The 26,986-nt window shown below is 40.9% G+C and overlaps 1 protein-coding gene across 2 annotated transcripts in view, besides 1 other annotated feature; it reads left to right on the top strand.

Annotated features, from left to right (window-relative positions):
- SLC44A5 (solute carrier family 44 member 5) overlaps nt 1-26,986 on the top strand; it is a 521,887-nt gene that overhangs the window by 30,027 nt on the left and 464,874 nt on the right. The gene's annotated exons all lie outside the window — the stretch shown is intronic.
- Nucleotides 15,284-15,943: an enhancer, noted in NCBI's record as "OCT4-NANOG-H3K27ac-H3K4me1 hESC enhancer chr1:76143731-76144390 (GRCh37/hg19 assembly coordinates)". NCBI's record gives its function as "activates a minimal SCP1, AML or CMV promoter by ChIP-STARR-seq in naive and primed H9 embryonic stem cells {active_cell/tissue: H9 hESC(naive and primed)}" and the evidence as "EXISTENCE:reporter gene assay evidence [ECO:0000049][PMID:30033119]".

Here is a 26,986-nt window from a genome sequence, read left to right as displayed (position 1 = left end):
CTTACACTGTATGGACCTAATGCCTCCAGTTCTCATCTTCCCATTCTCTCTTAAACCCTCCCCATTCAGGCTTTTGCTCCACAACTCTATCAAAATTACTTTTTATCTTGCTAAAACCAATGGTTAGTTCTTATTCTTCATCTTACTAGACCTAGCAGCACAATTTGACATAGCTGATCACTTCCTCCTTCTGGAGTCACTTTCTTCACTTGGTTTTCAGGATATCCCACTTCCTTAGATTTTCTCCTACCTCACTGGTCTCTATGTCTTTTTCCTTTGCTAGTTTCTCCTTATCTCCTGAACCTGTAAACATTGGTGGGCTCCAGTATGCAGTTCTCAGAACTCTTCCGTACCATTTTTATCAGGCTTGTGACTTAAAATACAATACTGCCTTGCGATAAGAAACGCTTCAGTAACTTGAATCTAGAGATTATCTAATTGACTGTTGCCTCTGGTCTTTTACTCAGTACCCATTCGCAAATGTATATGAGCTATCTTCTATGGGGTAGGGGATAGAGACAATAAAGTAAGGCCAGGTGAACAAACAGCAGATAACTCTTTGAAAAACTAGGAGGCAGTGGGTTTGTTCCCCCAAATCCTAACCGGGGCTGCTGAAATGGGTGCCAAGGTAAATGGGAAATTCCTGGATAATTTCTGCTTTCTGAAAGTCTAAGCAAGCCAGAGGCCAGAATATAACCCAATATTTAGGCCAATACTGAAAACTGCTATCAGATGGCACCAAACTTCCCTAGAACTGAATGAATTCACATGGCACAGCCAGAACTCTAGAATTCCTGACTAACTGTCCAGCCTCCATTTGATCATTTCACTGTAATTATCTTTCCAATTCAGTCTTTGATACCCCAACCTCAGCAATTCTTTGAGGCCACTAGGATCTCCAATCCATTGCCCTACTATCTTTACTCTATTTACCCCTTCATGTCCTCACTTCTGCTCCTTGAATGATTTAGATTTCATGTTTCATTACTATAATCATTCCTTTGCATATACCTTCAACAGTCTTGCCCCTTTTTCCTTCACTATTCTCAGCTGGCAGAATTCCATCACACTTACATCTAACTTGTTGACTACTCTGCATCTGTTCCCAGGGGAGATGTGGCTAAAGACTGACTGGTCTCATTTCAAATTGACCAACCCTCATGAGGGTTCTAGAAATCTTACTATATTTACCTGCTTCATAAACATTCCTAGATGAATATTACATACTTTTTCTCTTTTCAAACCTACCTACATATTTTTCTCTCCCTTCTCTCGTTTTTCCCATTCCTTTCCTTTTTAGATAATAATGTTCTAATACCAATGAGTAAACAGAAGCAATAAGAAGAGGACTATCTCCTGCTCTCATAACCACATCAAACAATTTACCAGCACATGTACAGATACACTCTGCTTCCTCTCCTATTACATGAAATAAACCATTAATGCTCCTATTTAAGGTCAACCCTTCTACTTCTGCATAGAATCCCATCCTCGGGCCGGCTGCGGTGGCTCATGCCTGTAATCCCAGCACTTTGGGAGGCTGAGGCGGGCGGATCACAAGGTCAGGAGATTGAGACCATCCTGGCTAACATGGTGAAACCCCGTCTTTATTAAAAATACAAAAAAAATTAGCTGGGCATGTTGGCACATGCCCAAATTCCCAGCTACTTGGGAGGCTGAGGCAGGAGAATCACTTGAGCCCAGGAGGTGGAGGTTGCAGTGAGCCAAGTTCGTGCCACTGCATTCCAGCCTGGGCAACAGAGCGAGACTCTGTCTCAGAAAAAAAAAAAAAAAAAAAAAAAAGAATCCCATCTTTTCTCATCTATGCAAACACTTTACTTCTGAATTGTTCTCTCTCTGTGTTTTTTACTTGTGGTTTTCCCAGTCTGCTGGATCATTCCCATTAGCAGGATCAACTTCACTGGCATTCAACACTGTAGTTGCACACTTAATAATTTTATATCTAAATTTGTGTTTTGTAAGTAAAGTATAATGAGACAATGAAGCATGCTATGTACTGATGTGTCCCCCCACTCCAAATTTATATATTGAAACCCTAACCTCCATTGTGATGCTATTTGGAGGTGAGGCCTTTGGGAAATAATTAGGTTTAGATAAGATCATGAGAGTGAGGCCCCCATGATGAGATTAGTATCTTTATAAAGAGAGGAAGAAAGACCAGATCTTTCTCTCTCTGCCATGTAAAGACATGAAAGAAGGCAGCTATCTGCAAGCCAGGAAAAGGGCCCTCATCAGGCACTGAATTGGTTTGCACCTTGATCTTGTATTTCTTAGCCTCCCATCTTCCTTGCCTCAGGGTGGGTCAACTTAGCTCCCAGAGGCTCTAAGCCACCCATGCCCCAACCAAGGATTAGGAGAAGGCCATATTTTATCTGAGACCATATTGTTACTCAGATTTTCCCCCTTTTTCATTTTGTTTCCCTCGTGGCCTTACAAGTTTTTCTTGAGGAGAGACTTCTCAATAAATCAAGTGCCTCTAATCCTTGTCTCAAGCTCTGCTTCCAGGGAAACTGATTTCACTCTGTAGCTTGTCTTTGCTCTATATTCATTTTCTAGATGATTTTATCTAGTACAGTGGTATTAAATACCATTTTTATGCTAGCAACTCCAGAATTTATATTACCAGCCTTGACCCCTCCTCTGAGCTTTAGACTCAAAAATCTCATTGCTATCATTTTCCTTTAGATGGCTAAAAGACCTGTCAAATTTAACAAATACAAAACTAAATTTTGAGTTTTCCTCTCAGGCTAGGGGAGGTTCCCAAATGCTGGTGGGACCTTGACCCTGGCTGGTGTTCAGGCTCTTGACACTGTTGCAAGAAAGAATTCAAGAACAAGTTGGAAAATAGTGAAAGAATGCAGATTTACTGAAAGCGAAAAGTACACACTCAAGAAAGGGGGGGGTGCATGTGTATTCAAGAGAGTCACACCTGACAGGGTTTGGGGCCTCCACCTTTATGGGTTTCTTTTTTTTTTCCTTTATTTTCTTCTTTTTTTAAAAAAATTAGAGACAAGGTTTCACCATGTCACCCAGGCTGGTCTTGAACTCCTGATCTCAAGTGATCTGCCTGCTGCAGCCTCCCAAAGTGCTGGGATTACTGGCATGAGCCATTGCAACTGGCCTATGGCTTTCTTTAACCAATGGGTGGAATATTCATGAAAATTCCTGGAAAAAAGTGAAGATTTCTCAGCACTATGGTCCCACACATTTTTACACCAGATATGGGTGTTCCTGGAAGTGTCATGGCCTTGGTGGATGTGTGATTTAGTATGTTAATGAGTGTATAATGAGGTCCTAGGTAAAACCTAGATCAAATCTAGCACTATGTTGAGTCTAGTCAGTCTTACCCAGCTTGGCCAACACTATGGTTTTTCAGGGTCTTAACCCCTAGCATATACAGCTATTTTGACATCTTCCTTTAGCTAGTCATGTGAAACTCCTGCTTGGATTATTCTATTGTTCTGCAGCCACCTTGTATTATTCTTGTCTCATTTTCCCCTCTCAGAGATTTCCATCTGATATAGTTTGGCTCTGGGTCCCCACCCAAGTCTCATCTCAAATTATAATCCCCGTGTGTTAAAGGAGAGACCTGGTGGATCATGGGGGCAGTTTCTCCCATGCTGTTCTTGTGATATTGGGGGGAGTTCTCATGAGATCTGATGGTTTTACAAGTATTTGGCACTTCCCTGCCTCTGTCTCTCTTGCCTGCCACCATGTAAGACATGCCTTGTTTCGCCTTCACCTTCTGCCATGATTGTAAGTTTCCTGAGGCCTCACCAGTCATGCAGAACTGTGAGTCAGTTAAACGTCCTTTCTTTATAAATTACCCAGTCTCCAGTAGTATCTTTATAGCAGTGTGAGGATGGACTAAAACACCATTCCTTATTCTTAAGTGTTGATGAGGGAGGAGGTTAGTCTTCTATTTCTACTTCCTGCTGATTAGGGGTGTTGGCCCTGCCTGGAAAGGGAATGGGAGTCTCCAGCTGCCTGGTCTAAGGGTCCCAAGGGTGATTCATCAGGAGAGTCTGAATCTGAGGCAGGGATTGGTTGAAATCCTTGCATGACCAAAATTTTGACATGGAACTGTTGCAACCTAGAAGACACAAACTTTACAAGGAGGCTAAACAAGCAAGGACCAAAGATTAGTAGTAATAAGGTAGCTATTAAATGTCCCAGGAAATGTAGGAACCAGATCACACTTGGTAGGTATCCTTTGACAGAGTCTCAGATGGTTTGAGTGGTGGGGTTATTGAAATTATGTAGCCAGGTAGCCTGTTGGTAAATCTTTCAAACTTGCAGTTCAATTAATCCTGAAATGTTAATATAAGAACATCAGGTGTGGTTTATTTCTGTGCAAACCCCTCTTTCTTCAGCTAGAAGATAAAGCTTCTTGTTATTTCCCTGACTATTTGAGTGGTTCATGGTCTGGTCTTGTTAGGGCCTCGTACAATGGCTTAGTAATGAGCCCAAAACCTGGGATCCAAATCCTGTATAATCCTGCCATACCTAGAAAAGTTCAGAGTTGCTTCTTCATTTGTGGAGTTCCCCCCTTTAAGACAGCCTCCTTTCACTCAACAGACAAGATCTGGTTTCCTAGGCTTGGGATGTACCCCAGATATTTTACTTCCAGTTTGGAAATCTGGGCCTTGGATGGAGAAACCTGATACCCCCTTTCTCCCAGGAAGTTTAGGACTTGAATGGGATTCTTATCTGAGTCCTCTTTAGTGGACTGCATACAAGGATGTCATCCCCGTATTGGAATATGGCTCAATTTTCTAGCTCTAGGTCCCTTAATACTCATGCCAAGTCATTTTCAAACTAGTAAGGGCTATTCCTAAAGCTCTGAGGCAGTACCATCCAGGTGTACTTCTGGGTAATATTAGTTTCAGGATTAGTCCTCTCAAAAAGCAAATACTGAGAGTCAGGGTGCAAAGGAATACAAAAGAAAGCATTCTTAAGATCTAATAGAGTAAACCAATTGGTGTCTCTCAGTATTTGGATAGGTATGGTATAAGGGTTAGCACCATAGGATGTGAGGGAATTACAGCCTCATTAATGGCTCATAAGTCTTGAACTAGATGAAATTCTTCATTTAGTTTTTGAACAGAGAAGATAGGAGTATTACAAGGAGACTGACATGGAACCATGAGGCCATGTTTCAAAAACTTCTCAATTAGAGATTGGAGTCCTTGCCTGGCTTCTGGTTTGAGGGGATACTGACACTTGTATGGGAAATTATTTTTGTCTTTTAAAGAGATGATCACTGGCTGAGCATGTGTTTGGCATCCAGGTGTTTCCCTGGAGCCCTAGCATTGCTCAGGTGTTCACAGCCCCCGAGGCTTTGAAAATGGGAGGGCTTTTGAGGTCAAGTAGGATGAGCTGCAGGTCTAATTTGAAAGCAGTGAGCATGCAATATCTATCTGAACATTTATTATCAAGTAAAACTTGGGAATAGAGATGATTCAGCATGGCCAATAAAGAAGGACCTCGAAAGGACATCTTAAGAACCATAGGCCTGGATTTGGCATTCCAGAGGGCAATATCTAAGAGGCCTATCTTGCTGTGTCCAAAAAGTATACTGAGCTTTTGTGTGAAGTATGAGGAAGAAGCACAGAAGAGAAAAATTGCAAAAGCAAGGTTTAAAGAAAGATGGGAAAGAGAAAATAGTTCCCAACTGGGGTCAGTGTCTTGCCACAACTGGTTCCTTGAGAAAATGGAAGACTCTTCCTGGGAAAAGTTATAGTGCTCCTAGGAGGCTAGCCAAGCACTGCATAGTATGAGACTTTAGCCTACTGCCTTCATTAGCCTCCTGTCAGGAAAGACTGTGGCATCTCAGAACTACTTGGTGTAGGTTGAAACCTTTCCACCTCCATTTGTCACTCATCAGGGCAAACAAGGTTTGCTCTCTAGTCAGAGAGAGCAGAGGCACTATGACTGAGGGGATTCAAGCTGTAGTCAGCTCTGAGGAACAAGGAAGAAATTAGCAATAACTTCAGGGAATGAGAAGACTTTGACTGAGGTCAAAGTGAGACATAACAACTGCTGCTAGTCCTAAAATGGGGATGACAAGTCTCTTGGCTGGATGACCATAAAGGTGATACTAGTGGGCTAGGGGAGCTCCCCAAATGCCCATAGGACTTTGACTCCTGCTGGTGTCCAGGATCTTGACACGATTGCAAGAAGGAATTCAAGGAAGAGTTGGAAAATAGTGAAAGTACAGAGATTTATTCCAAAGCAAAAAGTACACAAGAAAGGGAAGTGAGAGTGTCCTGGGGAGAAATTCACATCCAATGAAATTTGAGGCTTCTATTCTTATAGGTTTCTTTATCTAAGTGGTGAAATATTCATAAAGATTTCTGGAAAAGGCTGCATGTGGTGGCTCATGCCTGTAATCCCAGCACTTTGGGAGGCTGAGGTGGGCAGATCACCTGAGGTCAGGAGTTCAAGACTAGCCTGGCCAACATGGTGAAACCCCGTCTCTACTAAAAATACAAAAATTAGCCAGGCGTGTTGGTGGGCGCCTGTAATCCCAGCTACTTGGGAGGCTGAGGCAGGAGAATGGCATGAACCCAGGAGGTGGAGGTTGAAGTGAGTGGAGATTGTGCCACTGCACTCCAGCCTGTGTGACAGAGTGAGACTCTGTATGAAAAAAAGATTTCTGGAAAAAAGGTGAAGATTTTTCAGCACTGTGGAGCCATTCACTTTCACATGAGATATGGTTATTCCTGTAACTGTCATGGTGCTGGTGGGTGTGTGATTTAGTATGTTAATGAGTGTGTAATGAGGTCCTAGGTGAAACCTAGGTCAAATTTAGCACCAGATTGGACCCAATCTGGGTTCAGTCAGTCTTAGGTTGGCACACATCCTGTTTTTCAGACCCTAGCTTATGTAGCTCTTTCAAAAGTTTCCTTTTGCTAGTTATGCAAAATTCCTGCCTGGAATTCTCTATTCTTCTGCGACCACTCTGTATTATTCTTGTGTCAAAAAGCATTAGTATTTACCACATTGTTCAGATTAAACAACCTTGGAATCATCCTTGACCTTTTCCTTCCTCTCATATCACAATCCATACATCAGCAAGTCCAATTTACTCTATTGTCCAAATACATCCACGTTCAGCAAATCCTGTTGACTGTACTATCCAAATATATCCTGAATCTGTCCACATGGTAGCTATCCACAGTAATCCCTTCTCCTAGCAACCATCATCTCTTCCCTTGTAGGGATGTGTTGTAATAGCTTCCAATTTCCTGATTTCCTACTTCACTAGAGTTATCCTTTTAAAATGCAAATAATACATTTCACTTTTCTGCTGAAAATTCTTGAATTACTTCTCACCTTACTAAAAGCAAAACCAAAGTCCCTTCAATAATCGCTGTGATCCTGCAACATCTGACTCCTTCTTACCTCTTTGACCTCATTCCTTACGATTCTTCCCATCATTTATGGCCTCCTTGCTGTTTCTCAAAAGGCCAAAAACACTCCTGCTTTAGGGCTTCCGTACTTATTGACCTTTGCCAACAGGCTCTACTTCAAGATGTTGAGGTGTTTCATTCTCTCACTTCATCTACATCTCTGTGAAAATCTCATCTTATTAAGGAGGGCTTCCATGACTATTTTTTATTTTTTAGCATTCCCCACTTACTCCTAATATTCCATCTTCACAGCTTGTTTTATTATTCTTTGTGATGTTTCTTACCCTCTGAAATCTTCATATACACACACGTGTGCAAATGGCTACAAAAGGCATTATTTTGTTCACCTCTGATATGGTTTGGCTGTGTCCCCACCCAAATCTCACCTTGAATAGTAGTTCCCATAATCTCCATGTGTCATGGGAGGGACCTGGTGAGAGGTAATTGAACCATGGGGGTGGTTACCCTCATGCTGTTTTTGTGATAGTGAATGGGTTTTCATGAGATCTGTTGGTTTTAAAGGGGCTTTCTTCCCCCTTCACTCAGCACTTCCCTCTCCTGCCACCATGTGTAAAGAACATGTTTGCTTCCCCTTCTACCATGATTGTAAGTCATGGTGAGACTTCTCCAGCCATGTGGAACTGTGAGTCAATTAAACCTCTTTCCTTTATAAATTACCCAGTCTCATGTATGCCTTTATTAGCTGTGTGAGAATGGACTAATACAGTAAATTGGTACCACAGAAGAGTGGAGTGCTGCTATAAGGATACCCAAAAATATGGAAACAACCTTTGGAACTGGGTAACAGACAGATGTTGGAACAGTTTGAAGGGCTCAGAAGAAGAAAGAAAAGTGTGGGAAAGTTTGGAACTTCCCAGAGACTCGAAGGGCTCAGAAGACAGGAAGATGTGAGCAAGTTTCGAACTGCCTAGAGACTTGTTGAATGGCTTTGACCAAGATGCTGACAGTGATATGGACCATGAAGTCCAGGCTGAGGTGGTCTCAGATGAAGATAAGGAACTTCTTGGGAACTGGTCAAAAGTGCTCTTAATACCATTCAGTTTTATGTATTCACAAAGATATGGTTTGGAATTGAAACTTATATTTAAAAGGGAAGCAGAGCAGAAAAGTTCAGAAAATTTGCAGCGTGATTATGCAATATAAAAGAAAAACCCATTTTCTGAGGAGAAATTCAAGCTGGCTGCAGAAATTTGCATAAGTAATGAGGATCCAAATGCTAATCATCAAGACAATGGGGAAAATGTTTCCAGGGCATGTCCAAGGTCTTCACAGCAGCCCCTCTTATCCCAAGTCAGGAGGCCCAGGAAAAAAAAATGGTTTTGTGGGCTAGGCCCAGTGCTTTGTGGCTTTGTGCAGTCTTGGGACTTGGTGCCCTGCATCCCTGCCATGGCTAAAAGGGGCCAAGGTACAGCTTAGGCCATTGATTCAGAGAGTACAAGCCCCAAGCCTTGGTGGCTTACATGTGGTCTTGGGCCTGCCAGTGCACAGAAGTTGAGAATTGAGGTTTGGGAAGCTCTGCCTCGATTTCAGAGGATGTATGGAAATGCCTGGATGTCTAGGCAGAGGTTTGCTGCAGGGGCAGAGCTCTCACGGAGAACCTCTTCTAGGTCAGTGTGGAAGTGAAATGTGGGGTCAGAGCCCCACACAGAATCCCCACTGGGGCACTGCCTAATGATGGAGCTATGAGAAGAGGGCCACCATCCTTCAGACTCCGGAATGGTAGAACCACTGACAGCTTGCACCATGCACCTGGAAAACCTGCAGACACTCAACACCAGCCTGTGAAAGAAGCCAGGAGTGTCTGTACTCTGCAGAGCCACAGGGGCGGAGCTGCCCAAGACCATGGGAACCCACCTCTTATGTCAGTGTGACATGGATGTGAGACATGGAGTTAAAGGAAATCATTTCAGAGCTTTAAGATTTGAATACCCTGCTGGATTTTGGACTTGCATGGGGCCTGTAGCTCCTTTATTTTGGCCAATTTCTCCACTTTGAAATTGGCCAATTTCTCCAATTTAGCTAATGCTTGTATCCCCATTGTATCTAGGAAATAACTAACTTGCTTTGATTTCATGGGCTCCTAGGTATAAGGAACTTGCCTTGTTTCAGATGAGACTTTGGACTTGGACTTTTGAGTTCATACTGAAATGAGTTAAAACTTTGGGAGACTGTTGGGAAGGCATAATTGGCTTTGAAATGTGAGTACATGAGATTTTGGAGGGGCCAAGGATGCAATAATATGGTTTGGCTCCATGTCCCTACCCAAATCTCACTTTGAATTGTAATAATCCCCATGTGTCAAGGGTGGGGCCAGGTGGAGATAATTGAATCACATGGGCAGTTTCCCCCATACTGTTCTCATGGTAATGAATAAGTCTCAGGAGATCTGATGGTTTTATAAATGAGTGTTCCCCTACGCTTCTCTCTTGCTTGCCACCATGTAAGATGTACCTTTGCTTTTCCTTTTCGTTCCACCATAATTGTGAGGTCTTCCCAGCCATGTGGAACTGAGTCTATTAAACCTCTTTCCTTTATAAATTTCCCAGTCTCACATATGTCTTTATTAGAAGCATGAAAACGAACTAATACATCAATTTTGTCTTCTATAAATATGGCTACTTCCGCTCTTTTTTGTTTTCTGTTTGCATGGAATATCTTTTTCCATCCCTTTATTTTCAATCTATACATGTCTTTATAGAGGAAATGTGTTTCTTCTTTTTTTCCTGTCTTATTTCTTTTCCAAGTCTTATTTATTTATTTATTTATTTATTTGTTATTATACTTTAAGTTTTAGGGTACACGTGCACATTGTGCAGGTTAGTTACATACGTATACATGTGCCATGCTGGTGCGCTGCACCCACTAACTCGTCATCTAGCATTAGGTATATCTCCCAATGCTATCCCTCCCCCCTTCCGCCACCTCACAACAGTCCCCAGAGAGTGATGTTCCCCTTCCTGTTTCCATGTGATCTCATTTTTCAATACCCACCTATGAGTGAGAATATGCGGTGTTTGGTTTTTTGTTCTTGTGATAGTTTACTGAGAATGATGATTTCCAATTTCATCCATGTCCCTACAAAGGACATGAACTCATCATTTTTTATGGCTGCATAGTATTCCATGGTGTATATGTGCCACATTTTCTTAATCCAGTCTATCATTGTTGGACATTTGGGTTAGTTCCAAGTCTTTGCTATTGTGAATAATGCCGCAATAAACATACGTATGCATGTGTCTTTATAGCAGCATGATTTATAGTCCTTTGGGTATATACCCAGTCATGGGATGGCTGGGTCAAATGGTATTTCTAGTTCTAGATCCCAGAGGAATCGCCACACTGACTTCCACAATGGTTGAACTAGTTTACAGTCCCACCAACAGTGTAAAAGTGTTCCTATTTCTCCACATCCTCTCCAGCACCTGTTGTTTCCTGACTTTTTATTGATTGCCATTCTAACTGGTGTGAGATGGTATCTCATTGTGGTTTTGATTTGCATTTCTCTGATGGCCAGTGATGGTGAGCATTTTTTCATGTGTTTTTTGGCTGCATAAATGTCTTCTTTTGAGAAGTGTCTATTCATGTCCTTCGCCCACTTTTTGATGGGGTTGTTTGTTTTTTTCTTGTTAATTTGTTTGAGTTCATTGTAGATTCTGGATATTAGCCCTTTGACAGATGAGTAGGTTGCGAAAATTTTCTCCCATTTTGTAGGTTGCCTGTTCAGTCTGATGGTAGTTTCTTTTGCTGTGCAGAAGCTCTTTAGTTTAATTAGATCCCATTTGTCAATTTTGGCTTTTGTTGCCATTGCTTTTGGTGTTTTAGACATGAAGTCCTTGCCCATGCCTATGTCCTGAATGGTATTGCCTAGGTTTTCTTCTAGGGTTTTTATGGTTTTAGGTCTAACGTTTAAGTCTCTAATCCATCTTGAATTGATTTTTGTATAAGGTGTAAGGAAGGGATCCAGTTTCAGCTTTCTACATATGTCTAGCCAGATTTCTCAGCACCATTTATTAAATAGGGAATCCTTTCCCCATTGCTTGTTTTTCTCAGGTTTGTCAAAGATCAGATAGTTGTAGATATGTGGCATTATTTCTGAGGGCTCTGTTCTGTTCCATTGATCTATATCTCTGTTTTGGTACCAGTACCATGCTGTTTTGGTTACTGTAGCCTTGTAGTATAGTTTGAAGTCAGGTAGTGTGATGCCTCCAGCTTTGTTCTTTTGGCTGAGGATTGACTTGGCAATGCGGGCTCTTTTTTGGTTCCATATGAACTTTAAAGTAGTTTTTTCCAATTCTGTGAAGAAAGGCATTCGTAGCTTGATGGAGATGGCATTGAATCCGTAAATTACCTTGGGCAGTATGGCCATTTTCACGATATTGATTCTTCCTACCCATGAGCATGGAATGTTCTTCCATTTATTTGTATCCTCTTTTATTTCCTTCAGCAGCGGTTTGTAGTTCTCCTTGAAGAGGTCCTTCACATCCTTTGTAAGTTGGATTCCTAGGTATTTTATTCTCTTTGAAGCAATTATGAATGGGAGTTCACTCATGATTTGGCTGTTTGTCTGTTGTTGGTGTATAGGAATGCTTGTGATTTTTGCACATTGATTTTGTATCCTGAGACTTTGCTGAAGTTGCTTATCAGCTTAAGGAGAGTTTGGGCTGAGACAGTGGGGTTTTCTAGATATGCAATCATGTCATCTGCAAACAGGGACAATTTGACTTCCTCTTTTCCTAATTGAATACCCTTTATTTCCTTCTCCTGCCTAATTGCCCTGGCCAGAACTTCCAACACTATGTTGAATAGGAGTGGTGAGAGAGGGCATCCCTGTCTTGTGCCAGTTTTCAAAGGGAATGCTTCCAGTTTTTGCCCATTCAGTATGATATTGGCCGTGGGTTTGTCATAGATAGCTCTTATTATTTTGAAATATGTCCCATCAATACCTAATTTATTGAGAGTTTTTAGCATGAAGAGTTGTTGAATTTTGTCAAAGGCCTTTTCTGCATCTATTGAGATAATCATGTGGTTTTTGTCTTTGGCTCTGTTTATATGCTGGATTACATTTATTGATTTGCATATATTGAACCAGCCTTGCATCCCAGGGATGAAGCCCACTTGATCATGGTGGATAAGCTTTTTGATGTGCTGCTGGATTCGGTTTGCCAGTATTTTATTGAGGATTTGTGCATCAATGTTCATCAAGAATATTGGTCTAAAATTCTCTTTTTTGGTTGTGTCTCTGCCCGGCTTTGGTATCAGAATGATGCTGGCCTCATAAACTGAGTTAGGGAGGATTACCTCTTTTTCTATTGATTGGAATAGTTTCAGAAGGTACCAGTTCCTCCTTGTACCTCTGGTAGAATTCGGCTGTGAATCCATCTGGTCCTGGACTCTTTTTGGTTGGTAAGCTATTGATTATTTCCACAATTTCAGATCCTGTTATTGGTCTATTCAGAGATTCAACTTCTTCCTGGTTTAGTCTTGGGAGAGTGTATGTGTCAAGGAATTTATCCATTTCTTCTAGATTTTCTAGTTTATTTGCGTAGAGGTGTTTGTAGTATTCTCTGATGGTAGTTTGTATTTCTGTGGGTTCGGTGGTGATATCCCCTTTATCATTTTTTATTGCGTCTATTTGATTCTTCTCTCTTTTTTTCTTTATTAGTCTTGCTAGCCGTCTATCAATTTTGTTGATCCTTTCAAAAAACCAGCTCCTGGATTCATTAATTTTTTGAAGGGTTTTTTGTGTCTCTATTTCCTTCAGTTCTGCTCTGATTTTAGTTAGGTCTTGCCTTCTGCTAGCTTTTGAATGTGTTTGCTCTTGCTTTTCTAGTTCTTTTAATTGTGATGTTAGGGTGTCAATTTTGGATCTTTCCTGCTTTCTCTTGTGGGCATTTAGTGCTATAAATTTCCCTCTACACACTGCTTTGAATGCGTCCCAGAGATTCTGGTATGTTGTGTCTTTGTTTTCGTTGGTTTCAAAGAACATCTTTATTTCTGCCTTCATTTCATTATGTACCCAGTAGTCATTCAGGAGCAGGTTGTTCAGTTTCCATGTAGTTGAGCAGTTTTGAGTGAGATTCTTAATCCTGAGTTGTAGTTTGATTGCACTGTGGTCTGAGAGATAGTTTGTTATAATTTCTGTTCTTTACATTTGCTGAGGAGAGCTTTACTTCCAAGTATGTGGTCAATTTTGGAATAGGTGTGGTGTGGTGCTGAAAAAAATGTATATTCTGTTGATTTGGGGTGGAGAGTTCTGTAGATGTCTATTAGGTCCGCTTGGTGCAGAGCTGAGTTCAATTCCTGGGTATCCTTGTTGACTTTCTGTCTCGTTGATCTGTCTAATGTTGACAGTGGGGTGTTAAAGCCTCCCATTATTTATGTGTGGGAGTCTAAGTCTCTTTGTAGGTCACTCAAGACTTGCTTTATGAATCTGGGTGCTCCTGTATTGGGTGCATGTATATTTAGGATAGTTAGCTCTTCTTGTTGAATTGATCCCTTTACCATTATGTAATGGCCTTCTTTGTCTCTTTGATCTTTGTTGGTTTAAAGTCTTTTTTATCAGAGACTAGGATTGCAACCCCTGCCTTCTTTTGTTTTCCATTTGCTTGGTAGATCTTCCTCCATCCTTTTATTTTGAGCCTATATGTGTCTCTGCACGTGAGATGGGTTTCCTGAATACAGCACACTGATGGGTCTTGACTCTTTATCCAATTTGCCAGTCTGTGTCTTTTACTTGGAGCATTTAGTCCATTTACATTTAAAGTTAATAGTGTTATGTGTGAATTTGATCCTGTCATTATGATGTTAGCTGGTTATTTTGCTTGTTAGTTGATGCAGTTTCTTCCTAGTCTCGATGGTCTTTACATTTTGGCATGATTTTGCAGCGGCTGGTACCAGTTGTTCCTTTCCATGTTTAGCGCTTCCTTCAGGAGCTCTTTTAGGGCAGGCCTGGTGGTGACAAAATCTCTCAGCATTTGCTTGTCTGTAAAGTATTTTATTTCTCCTTCACTTATGAAGCTTAGTTTGGCTGGATATGAAATTCTGGGTTGAAAATTCTTTTCTTTAAGAATGTTGAATATTGGCCCCCACTCTCTTCTGGCTTGTAGGGGTTCTGTTGAGAGATCCGCTGTTAGTCTGATGGGCTTCCCTTTGAGGGTAACCCGACCTTTCTCTCTGGCTGCCCTTAACATTTTTTCCTTCATTTCAACTTTGGTGAATCTGACAATTGCATGTCTTGGAGTTGCTCTTCTCGAGGAGTATCTTTGTGGCGTTCTCTGTGTTTTCTGAATCTGAACGTTGGCCTGCCTTGCTAGATTGGGGAAATTCTCCTGGATAATATCCTGCAGAGTGTTTTCCAACTTGGTTCCGTTCTCCCCATCACTTTCAGGTACACCAATCAGATGTAGATTTGGTCTTTTCACATAGTCCCATATTTCTTGGAGGCTTTGTTCCTTTCTTTTTATTCTTTTTTCTCTAAACTTCCCTTCTCGCTTCATTTCATTCATTTCATCTTCCATCGCTGATACCCTGTCTTCCAGTTGATAGCATCGGCTCCTGAGGCTTCTGCATTCTTCACGTAGTTCTCGAGCCTTCGTTTTCAGCTCCATCAGCTCCTTTACGCACTTCTCTGTATTGATTATTCTAGTTATACATTCTTCTAAATTTTTTTCAAAGTTTTCAACTTCTTTACCTTTGGTTTGAATGTCCTCCCATAGCTCAGGGTAATTTGATCGTCTGAAGCCTTCTTCTCTCAGCTCGTCAAAGTCATTCTCCGTGCAGCTTTGTTCCATTGCTGGTGAGGAGCTGCGTTCCTTTGGAGGAGGAGAGGCGCTCTGATTTTTAGAGTTTCCAGTTTTTCTGTTCTGTTTTTTCCCCATCTTTGTGGTTTTATCTACTTTTGGTCTTTGATGATGGTGATGTACAGATGGGTTTTTGGTGTGGATGTCCTTTCTGTTTGTTAGTTTTCCTTCTAACAGACAGGACCGTCAGCTGCAGGTCTGTTGGAGTACCCTGCAGTGTGAGGTGTCAGTGTGCCCCTGCTGGAGGGTGCCTCCCAGTTAGGCTGCTCGGGTGTCAGGGGTCAGGGACCCACTTGAGGAGGCAATCTGCCCGTTCTCAGATCTCCAGCTGCGTACTGGGAGAACCACTGCTCTCTTCAAAGCTGTCAGACAGGGACATTTAAGTCTGCAGAGGTTACTGCTGTGTTTTTGTTTGTCTGTGCCCTGCCCCCAGAGGTGGAGCCTACAGAGGCAGGCAGGCCTCCTTGAGCTGTGGTGGGCTCCACCCAGTTCGAGCTTCCCTGCTGCTTTGTTTACCTAAGCAAGCCTGGGCATTGGTGGGCGCCCCTCCCCCAGCCTCGCTTCAGCCTTGCAGTTTGATCTCAGACTGCTGTGCTAGCAATCAGTGAGACTCCGTGGGGTAGGACCCTCCGAGCCAGGTGCAGGATATAATCTCGTGGTGCGCCGTTTTCTAAGCCCTTTGGAAAAGCGCAGTATTTGGGTGGGAGTGACCCAATTTTCCTGGTGCCGTCCATCACCCCTTTCTTTGATTAGGAAAGGGAACTCCCTGACCCCTTGCACTTCCCAAGTGAGGCAATGCCTCGCCCTGCTTCGGCTCGTGCACGGTGCGTGCACCCACTGACCTGCGCCCACTGTCTGGCACTCCCTAGTGAGATGAACCCGGTACCTCAGATGGAAATGCAGAAATCACCCATCTTCTGCGTCGCTCAGGCTGGGAGCTGTAGACCGGAGCTGTTCCTATTCGGCCATCTTGGTTCCTCCCTTGGAAATGTGTTTTTTATAGGTAACAGATGATTGCACTGGGTCTTGTTTTTTTTATGCATTTAGTTACTCTACGTTTTTTTATTGGAGAGTTTGTTCCACTTTCAGTTATTATTGATAATTAAGGACTTACTCCTACCATTTTGTTATTAGTTTTCCAGTTGTTTTGTGGCATTTTCTTTCTTCTTCCTTTCCTTTCTGTCTTCCTTTTAGTGAAGGTGTTTTTATCTGATGATATGTTTTAACATATTGCTTTTTAAAATTCTTTGTGTATCTGTTTTATGTTTTTAAATTTGAGGTTACCATGAGGCTTACAAATAGTATAAGCCATTATTTTAAACTGATAACAACTTATCACTGATTGCTTAAACAAATTAATAAACAAGCAAAGAGAAAACAAAACTCAACACTTTTTCTTTTTGTTGTTTCCATTTATCTTATTATACTATCTATGTCTTGAAAAGTTTTTGTAGTTATTATTTTTGATAGGTTAAACTTTTAGCCCTTCTACTCAAGTAGTTTACATATCACAATTACAGTGTTATTTAGCTGTTTTTTTTCTGTATTTACTGTTACCAGTGAGTTTTGTATGTTTAGATGATTTTTTATTGCTCATTAATGTCCTTTTCTTTCTGATTGAAGAACTGTCTTTAACATTTCTTTTAGGAGAGATCTGGTGTTGATGAAATCCCTCAGCTTATGTTTATCTGGGAAAGTCCTTAATTCTCCTTCATGTTCACCGAATATAATGTTCTAGGATAAACTTTTTTTCCCAGCACTTTAAATATGTCATGCCACTCTCTCCTGGCCTGTAAGGTTTACACTGAAAAGTCTGCTGCCAGAAATACTCCATTTTATATTACTTGTTTCTTTTCTCTTTCTGCTTTTAGAATCCTTTCTTTATCCTTGACGTTTGGGAGTTTGATTATTAAATGTCTTGAGGTACTCTTCTTTTGGTTAAATCTGCTTGGTGTTCTATAACCTTCTTGTACTTGGATATTGATATCTTTCTCTAGGTTTTGGAAGTTTTGTTACTATACCTTTAAATAAAATTTTAAGTTCCAGGGTATATGTGCAGGATGTGCAGGTTTGTTACCTAAGTAAATGTGTACCATGGTGATTTGCTGCACCTATCAATCTATCTCCTGTTATAAAGCCCAGTATGCATTAGCTATTTTTCCTAATGCTCCCCCTTCCAACATTTTTTCCCAACAAGCCCCAGTGTGTGTTATTCTCCACCCTATGTTTCTATGTTCAGCTCCCACTGATAAGTGGGAACATGCAGTGTTTGGTTTTCTGTTCCTGCTTTAGTTTGCTGAGAATAATGGCTTCCAGCTCCATCCATGTCACTGCAAAGGACATGATCTTGTTCCTTTTTATGGCTGCATCTGCATAGTATTTCATGGTCTATATGTACCACATTTTCTTTATTGAGTCTATCATTGATGGGCATTTGGGTTCATTCTGTGTCTTTGTGATTGTGAATAGTGCTGCAATGAACATATGTGTGCATGTATTTTTATAATAGAAAAATTTCTGTTCCTTTGGGTATGTAGCCAGTAATGGGATTGCTGCATCAAACGGTATTTCCAGTTCTAGTTCTTTGAGGAATTGCCACACTGTCTTCCAGAATAGTTGAACTAATTTACATTCCCACCAACAATGTAAAAGCATTTCTATTGCTCTGCAGCCTCGCCAACATATGTTTCTTGACTTTTTAATAATTGCCATTCTGACTGGCATGAGATGATATCTCATTGCAGTTTTGAATTGCATTTCTCTAATGATCAGTGATGTTGAGCTTTTTTTCATATGTTTGTTAGCCACATGTATGTCTTGTTTTGAAAAGCATCTGTTCATGTCCTTTGCCCACTTTTAATGGGGTTGTTTTTTCTTACAAATTTATTTAAGTTCCTTGTAGATTCTGGATATTAGACCTTTGTTAGATGGATAGATTGCAAAAATTTTCTCTCATTCTATAGGTTGTCTGTTCACTCTGATGATAGTTTCTTTTGCTCTGCAGAAGCTCTTTAGTTTAATTAGATCCCATTTGTCAATTTTTGCTTTTGTTGCAGTTGCTTCTGATGTTTTTGTCATGAAATCTTTGCCCATGGCTATGTCCTGAATGTTATTGCCTAGATATTCTTCTAGGGTTTTTATAGTTTTTGATTTTATATTTAAGTCTTTAATCCATCTTGAGTTAATTTTTATATAAGGTGTAAGGGAGTGATCGTCTCAGTCCAAAAGCTTCTTAAGCTGATAAGCAACTTCAACAAAGTCTCAGGATACAAAATCAATGTGCAAAAAGCTTAAGCATTCCTATATACCAACAACAGATGAGCAGAGAGCCAAATCGTGAAAAAAACTCCCACTCACAATTGCTACAAAGAGAATAAAACACCTAGGAATACAGCTAATGAGGGAAGTAAAGGACCTGTTCAAGAAGAACTATGAACCACTGCTAAAGGAAATCAGAGAAGACACAACAAATGAAAAAACATTCCATACTCATGGACAGGAAGTATGAATATTGTGAAAGTGGCCATACTGCCCAAAATAATTTATAGATTTAATGCTATTTCTATTAAACTACTGTTGACATTCTTCACAGGATTAGAAAAAAATATTTTAAAATTCGTATGAAACCAGAAAAGAGCCTGGGTGGCCAAGACAGAGTCCTAAGCAAAAAGAACAAAGCTGAAGGCATCATGCTACCTGACTTCAAACTACCACAAGGCTCTACAGTAACCAAAGAGCATGGTACTAGTACAAAAACAGACACATAGATCAATGAAACAGAATACAGAACTCAGAAATAAGACTGCACATCTACAACCATCTGATATTCGACAAACCTGACAAAAACAAGCAATGGAGAATGGATTCTCTATTTAATAAATGGTGCTGGGAGAACTGGCTAGCCATATGCAGAAAATTAAAATTGAATAAACTTTCTACTCCTATCCCTTTCTCTATCTCCTCTTTAAGGCCAATAACTCTTAGTTTTGCCCTTTTGAGGCTATTTTCTAGATCCTGTAGGTGCACTTCATTTTTTAAAATTATTTTTTCTGGCTGGGTGAGGTGGCTCATGCCTGTAATCCCAGCATTATGGGAGGCTGAGGTTGGGGGGGATCACCCGAGCTCAGGAGTTCGAAACCAGTCTCACCAACATGATGAAACCCTGTCTCTACTAAAAATACAAAAATTAGCTGGGCATGGTGGCAGATGCCTGTAATCCCAGCTACTCAGGAGGCTGAGGCAGGATAATCGCTTGAACACGGGAGGCATAGGTTGCAGTGAGCTGAGATCGTGCCATTGCACTCCAGCCTGGGCGACAAGAGCAAAATTTCATCTCCAAAAAAAAAAATCCTTTTTTCTTTTGTCTCCTCTGTGTATTTTCAAATAGCTTATCTTCAAGCTCACTAATTCTTTTTTTTTGCTTGATCAATTCTGCTATTAAGAGACTGATGCATTCTTTAGTAGTCAATTGCATTTTTCACCTCAGAATGTCTACTTGATTCTTTTTAATTATTCCAATCTCTTTGTTAAATTTTTCTGATAGGAATCTGAATTCCTTCTCTGTGTTATCTTGAATGTCTTTGAGCTTCCTCAAAACAGCTCTTTTGAATTCTCTGTCTGGAAGGTCATATATCTCTCTCTCTCTGTGACTGGTGCCTGGTGTCTTCTTTAGTTTGTTTGGTGAGGTCATGTTTTGCTGGTCTTGATGCTTTTAGATGTTCATTGGTGTCTGGGCATTAAAGAGTTAGGTATTTATTATAGTCTTTGCAGTCTGTTTGTACCTGTCCTCCTTCAGAAGGCTTTCCAGGTATTCAAAGGGACTTAAGTGTTGTGATGAAAATCTCTCGGGTCATATCTGCATTATGAGACCCCAAGCTCAGTGAAACAATGGCTCTTGCAGACTCATAGGGGTACTACCCTGGTGATCTTAGGTAAGATCCAGGAGAATTCCCTGGATTACTAGGCAGACTCTTGTTCTCCTCTCTTATCTTTCCCTAAACAAGCAGAGTCTCTCTGTTCTGAGCTCCTAGGAGCTTGGGGAAGGATGGCACAAGCACTCTTGTGGTCGCCAGCACTGGGGTTATGCTGGGTCAGGCCTGAAGCCAACACAGCACTGGGTCTTGCCCAAAGCCCACTGTGACCACTCCCTACCTACCACCTATGTTCACTCAAGGCCTAAGGGCTCTTCAGTTAGCATGTGGAGAATCTAGTCAGGCTTGTGTCTTTCCCTTCAGGGCAGTGAGCTCCCCCCTTCCCCTAGTAGGTCCAGTGATGCTGTCTGGGAGCTAGGGTCTGAAGTCAGGAACTTTTGAAATCTACCTGGTGGTCTATTCTACTACAGTGAGTTGGAACCCAAGCCACAAGAGAAAGTCTTTCCCAGTCTTTCCTCCCCCTTCCTCAAGCAGAGTTTTCCTTGTGGTCATCACACCCCCGACCCACAGCAAGTACAGCCTAGCTACTGCCAATATTCACTCAAGGCCCAAGACCTCTTCAGTCTCTCCCTTCAGGGCAGTGGGCTCCCCTCTGGCACAGGGCAGGTTTAGAAAAGCCATCCAGGATCCAAGTCCTGGAATCAGAGACCCCAAGAGCCCAGTTGGTGCTCTACCCCACTGTGGCTGAGCTGGTAACCAAGCTACAAGATAAAGTCCCATTACTCTTCCTTGCTCTTTCCTCAAGCAGGAGTCTTTTCTCAAAACCACCATAGCTAGGAATGTGCTGAGTCATACCTGAAGCCGGCAGAGCTCTGAGTCTCACCCAAGGCCCATGGTGAGTACTACTGGGCTACTGCTGACTAGTCAGGGCTGAAGGGCTCTCAAGTCAGCTGGTTATTAATCTTGCCAGGACTGAGTCCTTCCCTTCAAGGCAATGAGTTTCCTTCTGGCCCAGGGCATGTCTATGAATGTCATCCTGGAGCTAGGGCCTAGAATGGGTGCCTCAGGACTCTGCCTGTTGCCCTATTCTACTGCGGCTGAGGTGGTATCAAGTTACAAGACAAAGTTCTCTTTACTGTCCCTTCTCTTCTTCTCAAGCAGAGAAAAGGAATCTCTCCCAGAGCTGCAATTGGTGCTGCCTAGGTTTTGGGGAGGGGTCATGCAAGCACTCCTTTGGCTGCCCTGGTTGCTGTCTCACTAGGTTGCATGCACTTCAAGTATACTGACTCCAAGACCAGCACAGGACCAGGACTTGCCCAGGAATTGCTGTCCTTGTGGCCTAGACTGTCTTTCAAATTTATTAAGCACCCCAGAGCACTTTAGCCCATGGTGGTGGGACTCTCTGGATCTCAGGTTCTTGCTGTTGGGATGGATAATTCACCTCTGGCTAGGGCTGGTCTAAATGCTTTCTCTGTGGGCCCAGGCTGAGTTTTGCCCCTTGTTGCTTTCCACTGTGACAGTGCGGCACTGAATTCCAATGCAAATCTTACAATCACTGTGCTTTCCCTCCCCAAAGTACACAGATTTTTCCCTCTGTGACATGTGGCTAACTCCAGGGGATGGGGGAAGGGTGGCATAGGCAATTCAAGCCTGTATTTGGTACTTGCCTTTTTCAGCGCCTCTTTTCTGACATGTTAAAAGCAGATACTGTTGCAAGTTGTTGGTTTGCATGGCAAACAAACAAAGAAACAAAAAGCAGGCACTATGATTGCTCACCTGATTTTGGTTCTTATGAAGGTGCTTTTTTGGGTGGATAGTTGGTCAGTTTGGTGTTGCTGTGGTGGAAATGATCACTGGAGGTTTCTAGAAGGCCATGTTGCTCTACGTCCTCCAAGTTGGAACTTTCTGTATGATGTAAGGTTATGGTTAGTCTTCCATTAACGCATATTAGGTATTATTAATAAGAATTATTTTAAGAATCCATGTGAAAATAAAAAGAAATAGTTTCAGTTCCTCTACAGCCATTTCAGAAAACTTCAGCCTGTATCAGAATACAGCTTGGTTCGAGATCAGCTTTTTCTATTGTCCTTTCAGCAGCTAATGTCTGTTTCTGTGCTTGAGAGCTTCGCCCTTTCTAAGTGACTCTCTTTCTACTGCACTCATCACTATCAATTCTCTTTGCCCTTGTTTTCTCTAGTATTGTTTGATTTTTAAAGCGAGTGATCCAGTCATTAATTCAATACCTTTATTAAAACAATGTCAAAGTTGCTGGAGATATTGAACTGTGAATAAGATGGAGGCAATTACTGTTCTCAGAGAACTTATAGTTTTATGATTTTCTGCTTTTTTATGGTTCTATTTCCTCATGGCATCTATTTATTTATGAATTTTACTTACTGGTTTCTCTCAGTGAGTCTCTCTGCTTCTCTAACTCCTGGATGCGTATATTAGCATTTTTCTATTTTCTGTATTTTATGATGTTTTGACATCTGAGGGCCTTGCTAATTTTGAAGAGACTGCTCCTCCTATGGTTAGCTAATTTCTAGAGCTAGCAAATTACTCTCCTGTGAATACTGTTTTTATGTGAAAATGAGTAAATCCAGAGTCCACGCACACCAACTGCTTCTTTTATGGAGCTCCCACAGGTTAAGCCCCATCCCCTAAGATCACCTCAGGGCCAGGTTCCAGGCAATGGGGGAATTCCTATACCCCAGAGCCCACTAAGTTATTCAAACAAACCACTCCTAAATCTGCCTACCTTACCTTACTCATTCCTTCTTGTAAAAACCATAGGAAAGTCTTTGGTCCATGCTTTCTCCTTACGCCTTTGTCTCCTGAGTGACCTTGGTGCTTCCCTATGTTACGTGCAGTGCTTCCTGTTTCTAAGGATGTGTGAGTATAAACTTCTTTCTTCATGACGGTCATTTCTGTTTCTGTGTGTGCATGTCTTATCATACCCAATTAAAACAAATCCCAGATATATTTTAACACAATTCCTCACCATATGTCTGGCATTTAAAACTCCAGTAAGACAACTGTCCCTATTATTGGGATAATCAGGTCATGAATTTCAAAGTATAGTCACAAGAACCCTCTTTGAAGAGGGGGTGTGGTTTCTATCTTACTCCTTGTCAGAAAGAATATAATGACAGCTATCTTTTCTGAATTGTTCAGCACACTCTTCTTCTTCCCCAATTCTGTATTTTCTCCTATATATAGATTGGTTTACCCACCTTCTTCTCCAGTGATCTAGAAGTTGGGACAGTCTATTTTAAATTCCACTTTAAGCCATTACAAATTTCAAAACATTATTAAGCATATTTATATAATTGTCAAATATAAAAACAAAATAACTTTAGTTTTTCATGGGAGATTTAGACCTAGTTTTAATTCTATTGTTTCTAGCATTTAGAATTGCAAAAAAGAAGGCAAATTCCCTTTCATTCTGTTGTATGTAATTTCATTTTGTGTTGTCTAGAATTTTTTAGAGTCTTTCTTTACTTTTGAGCTTTAAAAGTCATCATAATATATTTATTAATTTTTCCTTACATGTAGGAATATCTCAACTCTGGGATCAAATAACTTCTTAAATTGGGAAGGTTTTCTTTTAGGTATCATTGATTATTACCTTTGCTTACTTTATTTTCCTTTGTCCTTTAGAGTTTTCTGTTATTTACAGGTTCAAAAGGTTAGAAATATGACTATTTTCTGTATTCATTATCATATCTTCTATCTTTTTGATCTCTTTATCTTCTCTTTTTGTATTTTAGAAGTCTTGTAATTTGTATCATTAATTCTATTTGCTCAACTCTTGAGCTCCTTCAGGCTGGGGATTATGTCTAATTCTAATTTGTATAGTAAGTGCTATCCTTCTCTCATGTTATACATTTTTAAATAGGTTCCATATTTGTTTTTCCCCTAATAATTCAACCCTCAAAACAGAGATATTTGGCTTTTATAATTTACTGAAGTGTTGGCAGAAACCCTTTCATTCATCTATGAAGGTGAAAGATGTATATAGAGAATTTAGTAAAGCTCCTGGTATGTTTGAGACTCAATTTCTGTCCTCAAGACTGTGAAGAAATTGCTCAAGTATTTTATTTATTTAAATACATGGGTTTGTATGTGTCTGGTGTTTTTTTTTGTGCGTGCATGTGTGTTTGTGTGTGTATGTGTGGTGGGGATGGGAAGAACGTAAGGGAGAACTTATAGTGGCGTCAGAATTCTGACAACAAGAGTTAGGGGAATGTTCGTTATTAAAAGTAATAAGATTTTTAAAGTGTTTCATTCCCAGAGATTAAAGAACTCCTTATCAATCTCGGCTACCCACCTCCTAAGTTGGGACAGTAGTGATGGTTTGACATGAGATCTTATTTGTGTCCTCCACTGGGTGAGACTATACACTGGCTAAAGGTAATACACTCTAGGGGCTGTCCCAGGAAGAGCAGGCCTTTGACTAAAGTTTGTTTGGGAGTGTCAAGCCAGAATGGAGACTAGATGTAGAGGGAGTAGACCATAAGCAGGGAATCAGTACAGTGACCTTGGGTATAGGGAATCCACATGTCAGGCTTGGAATTCAGGAATGGGACTGGGTCAAGCTTAAAGACTAGAACATCAGCAGAGATGAGATTTAAGGAAGCATCATTTGATTGGCAGAATTTTTTTTATCTTCCAGCTATGTAACAACTCAAGAAAATGAGCTCATCTGGGTACAAAGAAAAGAAAAAAGAACTCAAGAAAAATAGACAGATGGACAAATGAATAGGAAGTTTAATTGAAAAGATTGTGTCTCAAGACCAGATACCTTTCTATTGGTCTGCTTCCTCTTCCTCTTCTTCTTCTTCTCACTTCTTCTTTTGTTGGAGTCTTACTCTGTCACCTAGACTGTAGTTCGGTGGCGTGATCTTGGCTTACTCTTGGCTCACTGCAACCTCCACCTCCTGGATTCTAGTGATTCTCCTGCCCCAGCCTCCCGAGTAGCTGGGATTACAGGTGCGTTGTACCACACCCAGCTAGTTTTTGTATTTTTAATAGAGATGGGGTTTTGCCATGTTGGCCAGGCTGGTCTTGAACTCCTGACCTCAGGTGATCTGCCTGCCTCAGCCTCCCAAAGTGCTGGGATTGCAGGCGTGAGCCACTGTGCCCAGCCAATTGGTCTGTTTTCTTCACACAGTCAAATGTTCCTTTAACCACAGAAAGATAAACAAGCGTTTCAGAAAATACTATTGAAAAGCTCCCAGGGCCGGGTGTGGTGGCTCAGGCTTGTAATCACAGCACTTTGGGAGGCCAAGGCAGGCAGATCACTTGAACCCAGGAGCTGGAGACCAGCTGACCAGCCTGGGGAACATGGTGAAACTCCTTCTCAAAAAATTAACCGGGCATGGTGTCATATACCTGTAATCCTAGCTACTCGGGAGGCTAAGGCTGGAGGATTGCTTGAGCCCAGGAGGTCGAGGTTGCATGTGAGCCGTGATTATGCCACTGCACTTCAGCCTGGGTGACAGTGAGATCTTATTTACCAAAAAAAAAAAAAAAAAAAAAAAAAAGGCTCCTAGGATCCAGGACATTCTTTTTAAGTAATCCTCCCCAAGGAATATAATTATAACAAGTTGATAGTTACCTATTTTTTATTAGCCCAGTGCCACTTCCACAGTAAAACCTATTATCTTATACCTGGAGTGATATAACTTGTTTAAAAATTTATAATTTTTAATAGGTAATTCCGTTGTTGTCTTAATGAGATAGCAATGTGTTTAGCAGAAACATGGCAATAGACACTCTTAGAGGATTTAAAGTTTCACAAATGGCAAATTATTTGGAAGTGAATAAATTAGTTATATAAAATAAGAGACAACCAGAATGCTTCCAGGTGAAAATTCAGGCTTTCTAAGAGACCCCAGTCTGGGAGCATGCTTGCTATCTTCTGCTTTGTGAAAACATCTTCATGTGTTTCCATATTCTTCGAATAAAAAGAAATGTTATGTCTTTTGACAGTGACTGCTGGGTTTTTCCATCTGTTTAATCAGTTTTTCTTTGTGACAGCCATTCAATAGTATGTTCACATGGCAAAAAAATTTGAACAATACAGCAGAGAAAATAAGTCCTCCTCTTAGTTCGGCACTTCATTCCATTTCCCCAAAGCAGCTACCATCACCAGTTTCTTGTGTATTCTTTCAGATATTCTATACATATCTGTGTCTCAGTATCCTGTAAAATAGGGTTAGTACTAGATTGTGTTGTTTTTGTTTTTGTTTTTGTTTTCTGGTTCCATATGAAGTTTAAAGTATTTTTTTCCAATTCTGTGAAGAAAGTTAATGGTAGCTTGATGGGGATAGCATTGAATCTATAAATTACTTTGGGCAGTATGGCCATTTTCATGATATTGATTCTTCCTATCCATGAGAATGCAATATTTTTCTATTTTGTTTGTGTCCTCTCTTATTTCGTTGAGCAGTGGTTTGTAGTTCTCCTTGAAGAAGTCCTTCACATCTCTTGTATGTTGGATTCCTAGGTATTTTATTCTCTTAGTAGCAATTGTGAATGGGAGTTCACTCATGATTTGGCTCTCTGTTTGTTCTTGGTGTATAGGAATGCGTGTGATTTTCACGCATTGATTTTGTATCTTGAGACTTTGCTGAAGTTGCTTATCAGTTTAAGGAGATTTTGGGCTGAGATGATGGGGTTTTCTAAATATACAATCATGTCATCTGCAAACAGAGACAATTTGACTTCCTCTCTTCCTATTTGAATACTTTCTTTCTCTTGCCAGATTGCCCTGGCCAGAACTTCCAATACTATCTTGAATAGCAGTGGTGAGAGATGGCATCCTTGTCTTGTGCCGGTTTTCAGAGGGAATGCT

This window comes from Homo sapiens, chromosome 1 (genome assembly GCF_000001405.40).
Source record: "Homo sapiens chromosome 1, GRCh38.p14 Primary Assembly".
Lineage (NCBI taxonomy): Eukaryota > Metazoa > Chordata > Mammalia > Primates > Hominidae > Homo > Homo sapiens.
This window is presented reverse-complemented; position numbering and strand designations above follow the sequence as displayed.